General features: G+C 43.5%; 1 annotated feature.

Moving 5' to 3' along the window:
• Nucleotides 11,712–12,025: a transcriptional cis regulatory region, noted in NCBI's record as "candidate enhancer chr8.2573 targeted for multiplex CRISPR interference". NCBI's record gives its function as "positively regulates FBXO43 gene expression in K562 cells {active_cell/tissue: K562}" and the evidence as "EXISTENCE:mutant phenotype evidence [ECO:0000015][PMID:30612741]".

Consider the following 15,586-nt stretch of genomic DNA (forward strand, 5'->3'; position numbering starts at 1 on the left):
TTCCTAACCTTGGCTCCATGGGGATCATTTGGGGAGCTTCATCTCTTTTTATTTATTTATGTATTTATTTTGGGACAGGGTCCCGCTCTGTCACCCAGGCTGGGGTGCAGTGGCAAGATCTCAGCTCACTACAACCTCCACCTCACGGGTTCAAGTGATTCTCCACAAAGGAAATTGCGGTTTTTGTAATTACTTTTAATTGCAAAAGTAGGTGATTCCGATGCATGCCAAAGTTTGAGGACCACTGTTCTAAATAAACTTTGAACAGACATTTAGTAATATTGGTTTGAAAGGTCAGCAATCATTAGCCTCCTTGGGATGCCCATGTGTCTTCCCACTTGAGGCATGTTATGTCCATCCATGAATAATGACTTCCTGGGCACTTACTTGAGTTCCTGGTGCTATTCTAACTGCTTCGCATGTATTATCTTTCATAACAATCCTATGAGGTAGGAACCATTATTGTTGCTACTATTATTCCCATCCCTAGCCAGGATTCAAGCCCAGGCAGTCTGGCACTAGAGCCTGGCACATAATCTTGCCCTTCTAGTTGGCACAAAATCTCAGTGACCGTTTAGCTCATTGGCTGGCACAGTGTCGAGTAAATGCTCATTAATTCCGAATATGAACAGATATGGGTTGGGAAGGAGAATTCTTAGGGCATGGAATTTGCAGGGAATAGGGAGTGTCAGGGGTGGGGTGGGAGGCCGCAGGGGAAAGGAAAGAAGAGAAGAGAGAGCCAGGAGGCACTGTGGGTTTAGCAGGTGCCTGCAAGAGGACCCTGCAAGAAGGAAAGAGGGGAAGTCACTCATTGCCAAGTCAGTCATGAGCCCTACCTGTCCTGGGGCCACGTCAATTTACCAGCCAGAAAGGAGGCCAACATCAAGCCAGGGCCTCTGCTGTGCTTTGGGAACATCCAGAATGAGGGAGTGCAGGTTCGATTCCTCAAGGCCCTCATCTTCCCTCTCCTGCAACAGTCCCATCTCGGCCACTTCCGAAGGCATCTCCAGCCCCGCGTATCCTGTCTATACAGGGAATGCATAACTGAGATGAGTAGCCAAGAATTTTGAGCCACAAACCTTCATTTTGCCAGCATATTCAGGAAGCTCTACAGACTGGGCTTCAGACAGTGGAATTAAGGAAATTAGGAAGATGGAGCCCTGTCCTTAAGGAGCTTGCAGTCTAGTGGGGAAGACAGATAAACACACACAAAGTCAAGAGAATAAGAACTTGAAAGGGGTGCAAACAAAACCTCGCTTGAGTTCTAGCACTCTGGAAGAAAAAAAAAAAAAGTCTTGAAGCCACCAAGGAAGGAATAGTGAAAAGCTTCAGAAGAAAAGTAATATATGAACAGAGCCTTCAAGGGCAAGTAAGAGTTTCTCAGGCCAACTATGTAGTAGGAAGGGTATTCCAGGCAGAAGGAACAGCATAGGCTAAGGCATAGAGTGAAGAAAGTTAAAGAAATGTTGGCCGGGTGCGGTGGCTCACACTTGTAATCACAGCACTTTGGGAGGCTGAGGCAGGAGGATTGCTTGAGCCCAGGAGTTTGAGACCAGCCTGGGCAACATAGTGAGACTCTGTCTCTATAAAAAATAAATAAATAAAAGAAAGTTTAAGAAATGTTAAGGAGAAACAACGATTGGTTTTGTGGCTGAAGCAAAAGATGGGTGCACAGAGAAGACAGAGGAAGGCAAAAGAGCCAGTAGGAGATGTAGGGAGGAAAAGTAGGGTCCTATGAGCTGTATCTTCGATGGCAGGTAAAAACCCACTGTAGTTGGCTTAAACTAAAAAGAAGAATTTGCTATAAAGAAATAGGAAATCTCTCAGAGCCCAAAGACAGAGATACACTGGGATGCCAGGAAGTATTAAAAATTGAAAGCATCAGGCCAGGGTGAGCCCAGGCAGTGTTCACGCTCCATCTTTTTACCTGCTTCTCTCTGCAGACAGGACTCTATTCTCTTCTCTCTCTGTCCACAGGGGAATTCTGCACAATCCAGTCCACATGACAGACACATGACCTGCTCATAGCTCTAGGGTTTACATGATACAGATTGAGACACGTGGAGAAAATAATTCTGTGATTCCAATTCCAATCCTTGGGGAGGGATCTCTGAGTGGTACAGCTCAGGTCCTATAACTGCTCCTCATCCAGTCAGCTATGGCTAAGAGGCGAGGTCACATTTTGCAAATATGATACCTGGTAGTCCTACCCTGGAGGGTAAAGGGAACAGTTCCCAAAGGAAGCGGGGATCTGTAACACATAGACTGAGTGGGTACCCTAGAAATTCTCAACCATAGCCTCATAAGCCACGGTAGGGAATTTAGACTTTATCAGATAAGCAATTGGAGGTACTGGAAGGCATGACAAGATGGAATTTGTCTTTAGAACTGTTGTAGACAATGTAAAGGATGTATTACGAAGAGAGCATGAAGGCTAGGAGGCCACTTGGGAAAGTGCTGAAATAACCAGGCCACGGAACGATGAGACTCAAATAGGACAAAGGCAGTGAGAGTGGAGAGGCATTTTAAGGATGGAAATAAGGCCTTGGTGATGGTTGAAAGTGGGGGCTGAGGATGAAAGAGCTGAATGGCTCCTTGTTTCCTGCTGATGTGACAGGGGACAGTGATGCTGCTAAGTGGAATAGTGGCTACAGAAAGGGGGAGAATTGGGGAGGGGGCACAGAACATACGTAGTACGTGGGAAAGTGAGGCTAGCTTAGACCATGCTGAACTGGAGAGGTGACCAGATGGAGAAACTGATGGATCCCATCTGCTGTTGCTTTCCTCAGACCCCTTGACACAAGCTCCATTACCAATAAAGGGGAATTGGGTGGCATTATAAAATTCTTCTCATCTTATTGGTTGAGAATTGAGAAATCAGGAAGAAGCCAAGTCTAGAAGACAGAGTGGGGGTTTTGGAGTCAGCCAGACAGTGTGTGTGCCAGTCAGCTGTGTGACCTTGAGAAAATTACTCAACCTCTCTGAGTCTCAATTTTCCCAAAGGTGAAATGGTATCCTAGGCTAACCTTATAGAATATTATGGAGGTGAAGTGTGGTAATATTTGTAGTGTCCTTACAATATAAAGAAGCTCTCAGTAAGTGGTCACTGGGATTATTAGTTTTTTTTCCCCGAGAAATGCTGCATTCATAGTCTTGGGTCTGAAGCTGGGTTTCCCTGACAAATTTATCTACTCCCTGAGCTCCTTCTAAAATGATTACTCCACCAACTTATTACTTAACTGAGTTCTTCTCTACCATAGCAATAGAATCCTAAATTAATTCAAAATTTGAGTCTGGACCAGCAATCAACTGACTCTGAACTGACAAGTTTGACTATGTAGTGGATCAAATCATTGGGGAAGATAATAACAGCCTCTGTTGGCTGTTTACTGTATATTGGGCACTGTTCTGAGGGCTTGACAAAGTATTTACTCAAAAAAATTCTCACACATAACCCTACAAAGTCAGTACCATTATTCTCATCCCATTTTATAGATGAGGAAACTGAGGCCCAGAGATGTGAAATAACCTACGAAGATTGTACAGCTAGGAGGCTATAGAGCCAGGATTTGCATCCAGGCAGTCTGCCCCAGAGCCCACAATCTCATCCAGTCATACATACTACATAATTCACTCTTATTTTTCATTGTTCCCCCAGAGAACATCTCATTGTTCCACAGAACATTTATTCTCAAGCCTGTCTCAACCCAACATGAGGTATTTTGAAAATAATTTATTTGGAACTGATTTTCTCTTCAAAATAAATTGAGAGCAATTAGCTATTTCACCCAGCCTCACTTGCATTCAAATATTCTCTTTAAGAAGGGAAGTAGGCCAGGCATGGTGGCTTATGCCTGTAATCCCAGCACTTTGGGAGGCCGAGGCAGGTGGATCATTTGAGGTCAGGAGTTCAAGACTAGCCTGGACAACATGGTGAAACCCCATCTCTACTAAGAATACAAAAAAATTGGCCGGGCATGGTGGCTTGTGCCTGTAGTCCCAGTTACTTGGGAGGCTGAGGCAGGAGGATTGCTTGAACCCAGGAGGTGGAGGTTGCAGTGAGCCAAGATCGTGCCACTGCACTACAGCCTGGGCAACAGAGCAAGACACTGTCAAAAAAAAAAAAAAAAAAAAAAAAAAGAAGGAAAGTAACTCCTACTAAGGGAGCAGAGATAGTGTCTTCATCTGTTTGAGTTATTACAACAAGATACCTTAAACTGGGTAATTTATAAACAATAGAGATTTATTGCTCACAGTTCTGAGGCTGGGAAGTCCACTATCAAGGTCCTGGCAGATTCAGTGTAGTGAGGCCCTGCCCCTCATAGATGGTGCCTCCCAAGGTCCTCATACAGTGGTACAGTCGAAGGGGCCAAGAAGCTCCCTCAGGCCTTTTGCAAGAGCATGAATCCCACTCATGAAGCCTCCATCCTCATGACCGAATCACTTCCCTGATGCCCCTTTCCCGACACCACTGCACCGGGATTAAGGTTCAGCATATGAATTTTGGGGAGACATGCACATTCAGCCCTTAGCCGATAGTCATGGCAATTGTAAGTTGTCATGGTGCTCTACTCTCTGTCACAAGTTGAGCAGGTGGTGATGTCAAAATCTGAACATGGCCGTGAGAAGATATCCTTCAGGTAGAGGTCACTTTCCATGGTTGTCTCAGGAGACAGTTTCAGAAATGTTCATTTAAATCAAGATTTTAACTTTCAAGGACTCCCTTGAAAATCCAAAGAAAGTTACTTGACAACACATGTAGATGAGGGGGAAAAGAAGTTACTGACATTCTCCTCATAAAAATGTACAAGGTCAGGCATGGCAGCTCACACCTGTAATACTAGCATTTTGGGAGGCCAAAGCGGGAAGATTGCTTGAGCATTCAAGACCAGCCTGGGCAACATAGAGAGACCCCATTGCTATGAAAAACAATTTTTTTAATTAGCTGGGCATGGTGGCACACACCTGTGGTCTCAGCTACTCAGAAAACTGAGACAGAAGGATTGCTTGAGCCCAGGAGGTCAAGGCTGCAGTGAGCCATGTCATACCACTGCACTCCAGCCTGGGCGTCAGAGTGAGAACCTGTCTCAAAAGAAAAAACAAAGGGCGAGGTGTGGTGGCTCACATCTATAATTCCAGCATTTTGAGAGGCCAAGGCAAGAAAATTGCTTGAGCCCAAGAGTTCGAGACTAGCCTGGGAGACATAATGAGACCCTGTCTCTCTAAAAATAGTAATAATAAATATATAAGCACGGCTCTAAATAAAATCCCTGCCTCAGAAAAAGATAAATAAATAAAACCCCATGTAATTTTGGAGAGAGGCATGGATCTTCTGAAATCCATCCCTGAACCTCAAGAAGCTCTGCCATAGAAGATAGGCTGGGCAGATACTCTAATCATCCCTCCGAATTCAGTCTTGGCTTGTTAATTTGCAATGTAACTCCCTGTGAATATCCCCATAAAACTGAAATTCATTTTGCTCACTTATCATGCTCTGCCCTTGAGACACTTGTGAAATTAGCTGCAGAGAACCATTCGGATGGGCAGGCACCATTTCTCACTGGATATGGCATTATATCAGGAATTATGCCCTGCCTTCCCAGTCTGGGGTACAAAATAAAGTTGTGTTTCTTTGAAAATTCAAATCAAATGACTCTAAACGCTCTTCTTGATTATAAAGGAAGCACTGTTCTTATTATAAGGTTCTGCTCCCCTAAGTATGCTTTGAAAACCCTGAGAAATTGCTCTGTTGTCAGTAAGGAATCCCTCCAGCTGCTTTTGAAGCCCACTGCACTGCCCTCTGGGCACCTTCCATCCTGCTCAAGGCACGCAATGCCCCATGTGCCAGAGCCGGTCAGCAGCTCCATGAGGTGTTCTCTTCAAACGCCTTCGTTTGAAGAGTCACAGCTATTATTTCACCCTGTGGTGGCGATGGTGGCACGTGGGGGAATTGTTATAGTTTCCATTGACCACTTTTTCCAGCTAACACATGGCTTCATGTATTGCTCAAGTGGTCGACAGCAGGGACATTCATTGAATCAAGAGCTATAGAAATGTAACTACACATGAACTTCTCAGTTTGTATATAGCAGGGACATTCATTGAATCAAGAGCTATAGAAATGTAACTACACATGAACTTCTCAGTTTGTATATAAATTTAATGTATTTACTTATGTATTAAACCATTCAAGCGATAGATAAAGATCTGTAATAGATTTCAAGCCAGTGTACATTATGTAGATTTCCTCTAGCTCTTCCCAGCAGGACAATTCTAGCCCACAGATTAAGTAGGCAAGGGGGCATGGGTCAGGACAGGAAGTGCTGTGCAAAGAAATCTCCCTCCACCCTTCCCCCAGGGCCTGAGTTTAATTACGTGCAGTACACAAGTACCCTAGAAAATGTACCTGACTGGTTGGCTCATAGTCTCACCCTTCATTTTGAATTTATTTATTTATTTATTTATTTATTTTAAATTTATTATTATTATTTTTTTGAGACGGAGTCTCGCTCTGTCGCCCAGGCTGGAGTGCAGTGGCGCGATCTCCGCTCACTGCAAGATCCGCCTCCTGGGTTCATGCCATTCTGCTGCCTCAGCCTCCCGAGTAGCTGGGACTACAGGCGCCCACCACCGCACCCGGCTAATTTTTTGTATTTTTAGTAGAGACGGGGTTTCGCCATGTTAGCCAGGATGGTCTCGATCTCCTAACCTCGTGATCCGCCCGCCTCGGCCTCCCAAAGTGCTGGGATTACAGGCATGAGCCACCGCGCCCGGCCCATTTTGAATTTAACTGGGCAGCTATCCTCCCACGCATTCACGAGCCATTCACAGCTGAGAGATTGGAAAGCTTGATGGATTATTGGCAGAAAGACCTAGGTAGAGCTGGGAAACCATAGTAGACTCTTCTGAGTAGCCACAAAGCACTAAGTATCTGGGCAGTGAGAGATAAGAATGATGGAGAAATAAGAAAGATGAGATGTCTAAGATAAACACACTTGATTCACAATTAGGCCCAAGGCCAGCACTACCCTTCCCAGATTCACCCAAGAGGTAACTTACATAATAAATGCCTATTGCTGTATGGGTCAGATGAAACTTATTTTCCCATAGCCTAATGTCATTTAGGTCCTGCCTGATTTCTTTTTCACAATGGACCTGTGATAAATACTAAATTGCAAAGTCATTCTATTGTCCTTTGCAAAATAAACCACTCCAAAACTTAATGACTTGGAACAAAACTGTAATTACCTTGAGCAACTTTTCCTTTTTTTTTTTTTTTTTTTTTTTTGAGACAGGGTTTCACTCCCATCGCCCAGGCTGTAGTGCAATGTCGTGATCACAGCTCATTGCAGCCTCAACCTCCCAGACTCAAGTGATCCTCCCGCCTCTCAGCCTCTGGAGTACCTGGGATCGTAGGCGTGCACCATGACACTCAGCTAATTTTTAGATTTTCTGTAGACTGGACCTTGCTATGTTTCCTAGGCTGCTCTCAAACTGCTGGACTCAAGTGATCCTCCTGCTTCGGCCTCCCATTGTGCTGGGATTACAGGCATGAGCCGCCATGTCCAGGTTGAGCAACTTTTGAAGAAAGTATTTGGACTTTGCCAGGCAAAAACTGTAAACATTGAATGCAAGTCAGTAGTTTTGGTTTGCTTTTTCTCCTGCAGAGGTATGAGTTAACAATTTTGAAAGCATTCTCTGTATATTTTAGGATTAAGAAAATAAGACAATATGTCATAGATAATAGGAGCCAGGTTTTTCACCGTTAGAAAAGGAAGTTAACAAATATGAAAAGGGAGGGAGCTAGAATGAAACCTTATGGAGTTATTCCATAAGGTTATGAACTCATGGTTTGAACTAATCATTTTTAATATAGAGAGATAGATATAAAAATAGATAAAGTGTGGGTATATATGTGTGTGTGCACGTGGACACATATATATATTTACTGGGTCTGGTCACTAAGAGGGCTAAAAAGCAATGATGCTCAGTAGCAATGAGCATGCCTATCACCAAGATCTTGGTTTCTAAATACTTTCCTCACTAAAAAGAACCAAAACTCCTTAGGAAAATGATTCAAAGGCTGGGGCAAGGACAATACAAAATGAGCCTGGAACATCTTCTGCCGGAAAAGTATGTAAGTGCTCAGAGAATCATGGGAACATATGAAAAGGACTTGGGACCAGTTGGAAGAGGCTCTCAAAGGCCAAATCTGGGAATTTAAGCATCAGAATACATCATGATATTAACAGATTATAACCCACTGACTCAAATGGAAATCACTTAGTTAAAACTGTTATAACTAAGTAAGTAGGGGAAAAGGGAAATCTCTTTCTTGCAGTAGAATGCTCATTAATAAGTATAGAAGAAGTGATGAAATTAGAAAATCACCATTTGCAATTATCATGGTAGAAATTGTTTAATCAATTGAATCATCAATGGATACTAAAGCTAGTGGCTCAAAGAGTCATGAACAACAGGATCATTACACAGTCTCAAAGCATCACTCTGTAAAATACTTATTAATTACAAACAAAAAACCCATAACTTTATACTGAGTAAATTTATAAAACTGTCAGATGCCATCATAACCTAATATTTAAGTTCAATATCACCTGTAATGGGATGAATCGACATTGCTTACCTCCTGATATGATGCACTGAGAAAATACAAAATCTCTTTTGTTGTATTTCTGCCAAAAAATGTGTAACCTGAATCTAATTGTGAGAAAATACCAGATAAATTCAAGTTGAGGGACATTCTATAAACTAAGTGACCAGTACTCTTCAAAAGTGTTAATATCATGCAAAGCAAAGAAAGCCTGGGAACTGGCCCAGGTTAAATGAGGTTATACAGACATGACAAGAGAATGCAATGCATAATCCAGGATTTTCTTTTGCTAAAAAAGGTCATTTTGGGGACAATTGGCAAAATTTGAACAAGGTCTGTAGATTAGATAATAGCATTATAAAAATGTAATTTTCTGGCTTTTATAATTATACTGTGTTTATGTAAGAGAATTTTCTTGCTTTTAGGAGATACACATTGCCTTATATAGGGGTATGCAACTTACTTTTAACTTTTAACATTTGCCCTGTCCTCCTGCAATTGTTTAACATTTGGGCAATTTGGATGAAAGATGTGGGATTTTTTGGGGTGTTATTTTTATATCTTTTCTGTAAGTTTATAATTATATCAAAATAGAAAGGGCTTATAAACAACTATTTTTTTTTTTTTAAGACAGAGTCTCCCTCTGTCACTCAGGCTAGAGTACATTGGTGCCATCTTGGCTCACTGCAACCTCCCCCTGCCGGGTTCAAGCAATCCTCATGCCTCAGCCTCACAAATAGCTGGGATTACAGGTGCGCACCATTATGCTTAGCTAATTTTTGTATTTTTAGTAGAGACGGTTTCTCTGTGTCGCCCAGGCTGGTCTTGAACTCCTGTGCTCAAGTGATCTGCCCACCTTGTCTTCTCAAAGTGCTGGGATTACAGGTGTGAGCAACCGCACCCAGCCAAACAACTATTTTCTTGCTTCTTCTGTGTCAGGTTCAAGTCCAAGTTCCAGCCCATGCTGAGGTCTGAAGGAAGTGGGTGGATGAATGGCAGATAGCTGAAACAACACTCGGGGGGCTGTCAGTAGGGGAAATATGGCTTTATTCAGCAGCTCGCTCATCAGCAGCTCTTCTACACTGTCTGTTCTGTCTCGGCTGCTTGCTGCGGCTGCCCCCACGCACAGCTGTGTGGCCAGCTCTCCCTTCAGGGTCAGCAGTTTATCTCCTTCTCTCTCTGGGCATGAGCGCAAGAGCCATGTCAAGCCATGCCCAAGAGCCAAGCCAAGCCATGTCCCCCATGCACAGTGTCAGCAGGGCAGTTATACCTTTTACAGACAATAGTGGCTCCAAGGCAAGTATCAGCTTACACAAACAGGTTATACAACAAGTGGAGTATGTGCCTGCACCCTAAACTTGCTGAGTCATGCAGGCTCAGATGTCTGCCTTGTCTACTCTTAACCAAAGGTACTATGGGTCGTCTGGGGCTCAGTGGTCAGTTTTTCTTCTGTCCTTACTCATGATCTCTTGCATGTGCCATCAAATGCTGGGGCAGAAACATCCCAGAAGGCTCCATGTGCATGTCTTCTCCTGTTCTTTGGTGAAGGTGGCTGGGAGGCTGGGCTCAGCCCCGGTACTAGGACAGCAGGCCCCTCTCTCCATAGTCTTGGGGCTTCTTCCTCTCCAGGCTTCTCCACATGGCATCTCCAGCAGGGTGGCAGGACTTGTTACATGGTGGCTCAGGGTTCCTGAAAGTGCCGAAGTAGAAGTCACCAGGCCTTCTTGAATCTTAGAGCCATGAGAAGCGTGTGTTACTTCCCCTGTATTCTGTTCATTCAAAAGACCCACAGGGTCAGCCAGATTCAATGTAGGGGGAACTTTACAAAGATGTGATGATCAGGAGGTATGGCTCACGAATGGCCATTGTTTGCAGACCAGTTACAACAACAACAATCGAGGTTCAATCTGCAAAGCATAACCACTATGCGTAGTGCAGAATAAGGGGTTTGTTAAATGCCCAGGACCTCACAGAATTGTGGGAGGAACGGATGAAGAGGGGTTGATAAGGAGGGGCTGGAAGCTCTGCCAAAGCAGTGACATGGATGGGCAAGTCAGAGCTTGCGGGAAACCTGGGGAGCCAGGTACATCTGGCTGCTGGAGTGGGATGATGAGAAAGCTGGTAGGGACCAAGGGGGGGCTGTGGCCTCTGTGTGTGGGGGTGTGGCTTGGAGTTGCTGTTGGTCAGCAAGGCCAATGATCAGGAGGAAGAGGTGGTCACAGAGCCAGAGAGAGTGAGGACAAGCTGGAATCTGCCAGCATGTCTGCATTGGTCTTTCTCCGCACTGAAATCACAATGACTTTCCGAAAACATTGGTCACTGTTTCCCTTCTACCCTCCAAATCTCACACACTGTTTCTCTTTGGCTAAGTCTAAGCTGGAACCACAGGGAGAAGGGGATCGTGACAAACCTCGTTCTAGCTTAGCCAACGTAACATAGTATAAAAATGTCAAAAGAGGAAAAGAGAAAGGACCATAACTGAGGGCTTGCAACTTGGATGGAATCTGTGAGCATATTTTTTGTAGCCAGAAAAGAACCCCAATATAATAGGTCATAATTAAGAGCATTTGCTAAGTAAGCCTCATAAATATAATGAAATCATAAGCGAGAGCATCACTTTCCCACAGACTGTGTTGAACTGAACCTCCTTTGTACCAATGGTTTCCAATAAAACCTCAATGAACATGATAAAAATGGCTGAAATTTGAAGCTTAAGCCAAATTCCTTAAAAAGAGCAAAAGAGTCTCAAATTCACATTAGGAATTTATCCAAAACCATTTTCTAGCTTGACTGAGCAACAATGATGATGATAGCCAGCATTCTTATACTCCCGGGCGCTTACCAGGCACTATTCTAAGAGTGTTAATTCATTTCACCTTTGTTACAACTCTATAAAATAGGCATTATTATCTCCACTTTATACATGAGGACACTGAGGCACTGAGAGGTTAGAAGCCTGCCCAAGGTCACATACTGTTAAATATCAAAGATACGGTTTGAACCCCAGGAGTGCAGTGCTCAAGGCTGCTCCACACCGGCAGGCTGAATTGCCTGTCATACCCTGCCTTCCATATCATGGCATCCAAGGATTCGTCCATAAGAACATATGTTCCCAATAAAAGCCTTGGGCATTGTCAGATACTTTTGTTTGTAATAAACTTGTTTATTCATTCAGTCAGCCAAGATGAACTCAAAGCTTATCATCATGTACCAGATATGCTAAGCTCAGGGGTCACTACAGTGAGCAAAACCTGACCTGGTCCCCTTTCTCCTGGAGCCTACTGGCCAGTGGAAAAAGAAGTGACTCCAGTGATCTCACAAATGAGAGTGCAATTGCTGGCTGGTGTATATGTTCTAAGGTGGATGAGTCAACCATCCTCGGTTCTATTATTTTCTGCACATTGCAGCAGGAAAGTGGAAAGTGTATATTCTGGAGAACTTTTTGCTAAAACAGTTGATATGGTTTGGCTGTGTCCCCACCCAAATCTCACCTTGAATTGTAATAATCCCCATGTGTCAAGGACAGGGCCAGGTGGAGATAATTGAATCATGGGAGCGGTTTCCCTCATACTGTTCTTGTGGTAGTGAATAAGTATCACCAGATCTGATAGTTTTATAAAGGGGAGTCCCCCTGCACATGCCCTCTTGCCTGCTGCCATGTAAGACATGTCTTGCTTTCCCTTCGCCTTCCACCATGATTGTGAGGCCTCCCCAGCCATGCAGTACTGTGAGTCAATTAAACTTCTTACTTTATAAATTACCCAGTCTCAGGTACGTCTTTATTAGCAGTGTGAGAACAGACTAATATGAGGGTTCAATTCCTTCTTAATTTTTACTTAACCAGAAACACCGATTCTCTGAGCATTCCTACTCCCTGACTGCCTCTCACTCCTTCAAGTTCCTCCTGCCGGTGCCCATGGGCTGAGTTCATACTTAGCTCCCTGTGTCTGCCTTTCCTATCAGTCTTTCTCTGATTGGCGAATTTTCCCTTCTCTTCCTAATATTGCTTTTACCTGTTGGGTTTGTTTGTCTAACAGCCCTCCTCCTACCTCTGTTAAAGAAATGTAATTACAGAGAGCAAAGGGGAAATAACAGTTGGCTAATTATTAAGTAGCCTTTCCCAAGAACACTGAGAACATTTTAAAATTGCACATGGCAGGGTGCAAGAGCCCGTGACTGTAATCTCAGCACTTTGGGAGGTTGAGGTGGGAGGATCGCTTGAGGCCAGGAGTTCAAGACCAGCCTGGGCAACATAGCAAGACCTTGTCCTTGTCTCTCTAAAAAAAAAAAAAAAAAAAAAAAAAAAAATTGTCAAAAAAAATTGGCTGGGCATGGTGGTTCACCCTATAGTCCTAGCTACCAGAAGGCTGAAGCAGGAGGATACCATGAGCACAAGCAGTTGGAGGTTGCAGTGAGCTATGATCATGCCACTGAGCAAGACAGAGCAAGATCCTATCTCTAAAATAAAATAAAATAAATAATAAATTACACCCCCATTAAATCAGGTAGGCCTGGAAAATAATGAGTGGTTTTAAATCTCTTTAAGAAGGGTGTGAATGGAAAATGTACAATTTAAACCAAAACAACCTCTCTCATGATATGGTTGGAATGTCTCTTCATCCTAACGTCCTTCTAGGGACAATTGAAGCTAGCTTGACGCTAGTGCAAAGGCCCTAAACACGAGGAAAGAGATTTCACGAGTGTCTGTCGTGTTACGCAATAAAGCACAGGGCTGTTTGGGGTTATTGTTTTGCTCTAGGGGTTGCAGCTGGAAGGTGGTATGGACTGAATGTCCCCCACCAAAAAAACTCATATGTTGAAGTCTAATCCCCAGTGTGATGGTATTTGGAGGTGGCATCTCCAAACTAGGGTGGAGCCCTCATGAATGAGATTAGTACCCTTATAAAAGGAGACATGAGAGAGAGAATCTCCCTCTCCCCGATGTGAGGACACAGTGAGATGGTAGCCACCTGCCAGCCAGGAAGAGAGCCCTCACTAACAGCCAGACCATGCTGGTACCCTGATCTCAGACTTCTAGCCTCCAGAATTGTGAGGAATACATGTCATTTACACCACCCAGTGTATGATATTTTTGTTATAGCAACCTGAACAGACTAAGACAGAAGGAGTGAAAATATAAAGGAACAGAAACATAAATTTTCATAGACTTTATAAGTTGTCTGAAGTCACTATGTCTATTCATTTCACACACAGAGAATTTTTGTATTCTCAAATTTAAAACTTGAATCTCAACTCCTGAAGAATGACATGGAAGTTCCAAAACCTGCAGTAACTAATGACTCACCAGTTATAGTTGTATCCCCCCGGCTGGTGGGCAGGAGTTAGTCACTTAGTGTAAGTGGGGTTAACTGACCTCTTAGCAGTCCCCTCTCAGTATGGCTGTGTGGTTCTCAAGAATTACTCAATCCCATTGATTCATCACATCCACCCTCTGGGACAGCAGAGTGACACACTGCTGGTTACCAACACGTCAGGTTCTCCTGTCTTTCCAGCAGGGAGGATAGTGCTTCCTTGCCCCTTTGAAATTAGGTTTCTCCATCTGACTTGCTTTGACCAGTGAAATGTAAATGGAAGGGACACATTTTATGTCTGCATGGAAGCACTTAAACGTCATCTTCTCCTGTTACATGTTGATATCAAGGTGCCTTAAGACCAAACATCCCTGGAAAGCTGAAACAATCCATGGAGAACAGCTGCCCTGGAGAATTAACTGGACCCACGGTGGGCATTTTGCATGAGTGAAAGACAAATGTTAGTGGTTTATTTTTATTTTTATTTTTATTTTTTGAGGCAGAGTCTCGCTCTGTTGCTTAGGCTGGAGTGCAATGGCATGATCTTGGCTCACTGCAACCTCTGCCTTCCGAGTTCAAGCAATTCTCCTGCCTCAGCCTCCCAAGTAGCTGGGATTACAGGCACCCACCATCATGCCCGGCTAATTTTTGTATTTTTGTAGAGATGGGGTTTCACCATGTTGGCCAGGCTGGTCTCGAACTCCTCACCTCAGGTGATCCACCTGCCTCGGCCTCCCAAAGTGCTGGGATTACAGGCGTGAGCCACCGCACCCAGCCAAATGTTAGTGTTATTAAACAACTGAGATTTTGGGAGTCTTTGTTACTGCAGCATAAAATAGCCTATGCTGTCTGACACAAGCAAATATTATTACCTGATTTTAAAAATAAGGAAACTGCAGGATTGATATATGATGGCAAAAATTAAAAATTCAAAGATCTTTAAGAAGTTTGTTGTCTCCTTCCCATAACTTATGATGACATCTATCTCTTTTTTTCTTTCTTTTTCTTTTGTCTCTTTTAAACCTTCTCAGCATCCCAGCTCTGGCCAAATCTCACTTCCTCCTTCCATTGTTCCCCATGTTACTAAGTAAGGTTCTTGAGGGCAGGGACTGTGCCACTAAGTGTTGTGCACATAGCACATGCTTAAAAAAGATTAGTTTAATTGAGTCATTTCCAACAATGTCATGCTTGCATTATTTTTTTAAGATCCAAAACAGCCTATTCTATAATGATTTTTCTCTTGGAAAGTCATTTTGAGAAAAATAAAATTATTTGTGGGAGAAAACCACCATGGCACATGTACACCTATGTAACAAACCTGCACATTCTGCACATGTATTCCAGAACTTAAAGTACAATAAAATTTAAAAAAATTGTTATACATTTAAAAATTATGACTAGCAGCCAGGCACGGTGGCTCACGCCTGTAATCCCACCATTTTGGGAGGCCAAGGCGGGTGGATCACAAGGTCAAGAGATCAAGACCATCCTGGGCAACATGATGAAACCCCATCTTTACTAAAAATACAACAATTAGCTGGGCATGGTGGCATGTGCCTGTAATCCCAGCTATTCAGGAGGCTGAGATAGGAGAATCGCTTGAACCCAGGAGGTAGAGGTTGTAGTGAGCCAAGATCACGCCACTGCACTCCAGCCTGGCAAC

This window comes from Homo sapiens, chromosome 8 (assembly GCF_000001405.40).
Source record: "Homo sapiens chromosome 8, GRCh38.p14 Primary Assembly".
NCBI lineage: Eukaryota > Metazoa > Chordata > Mammalia > Primates > Hominidae > Homo > Homo sapiens.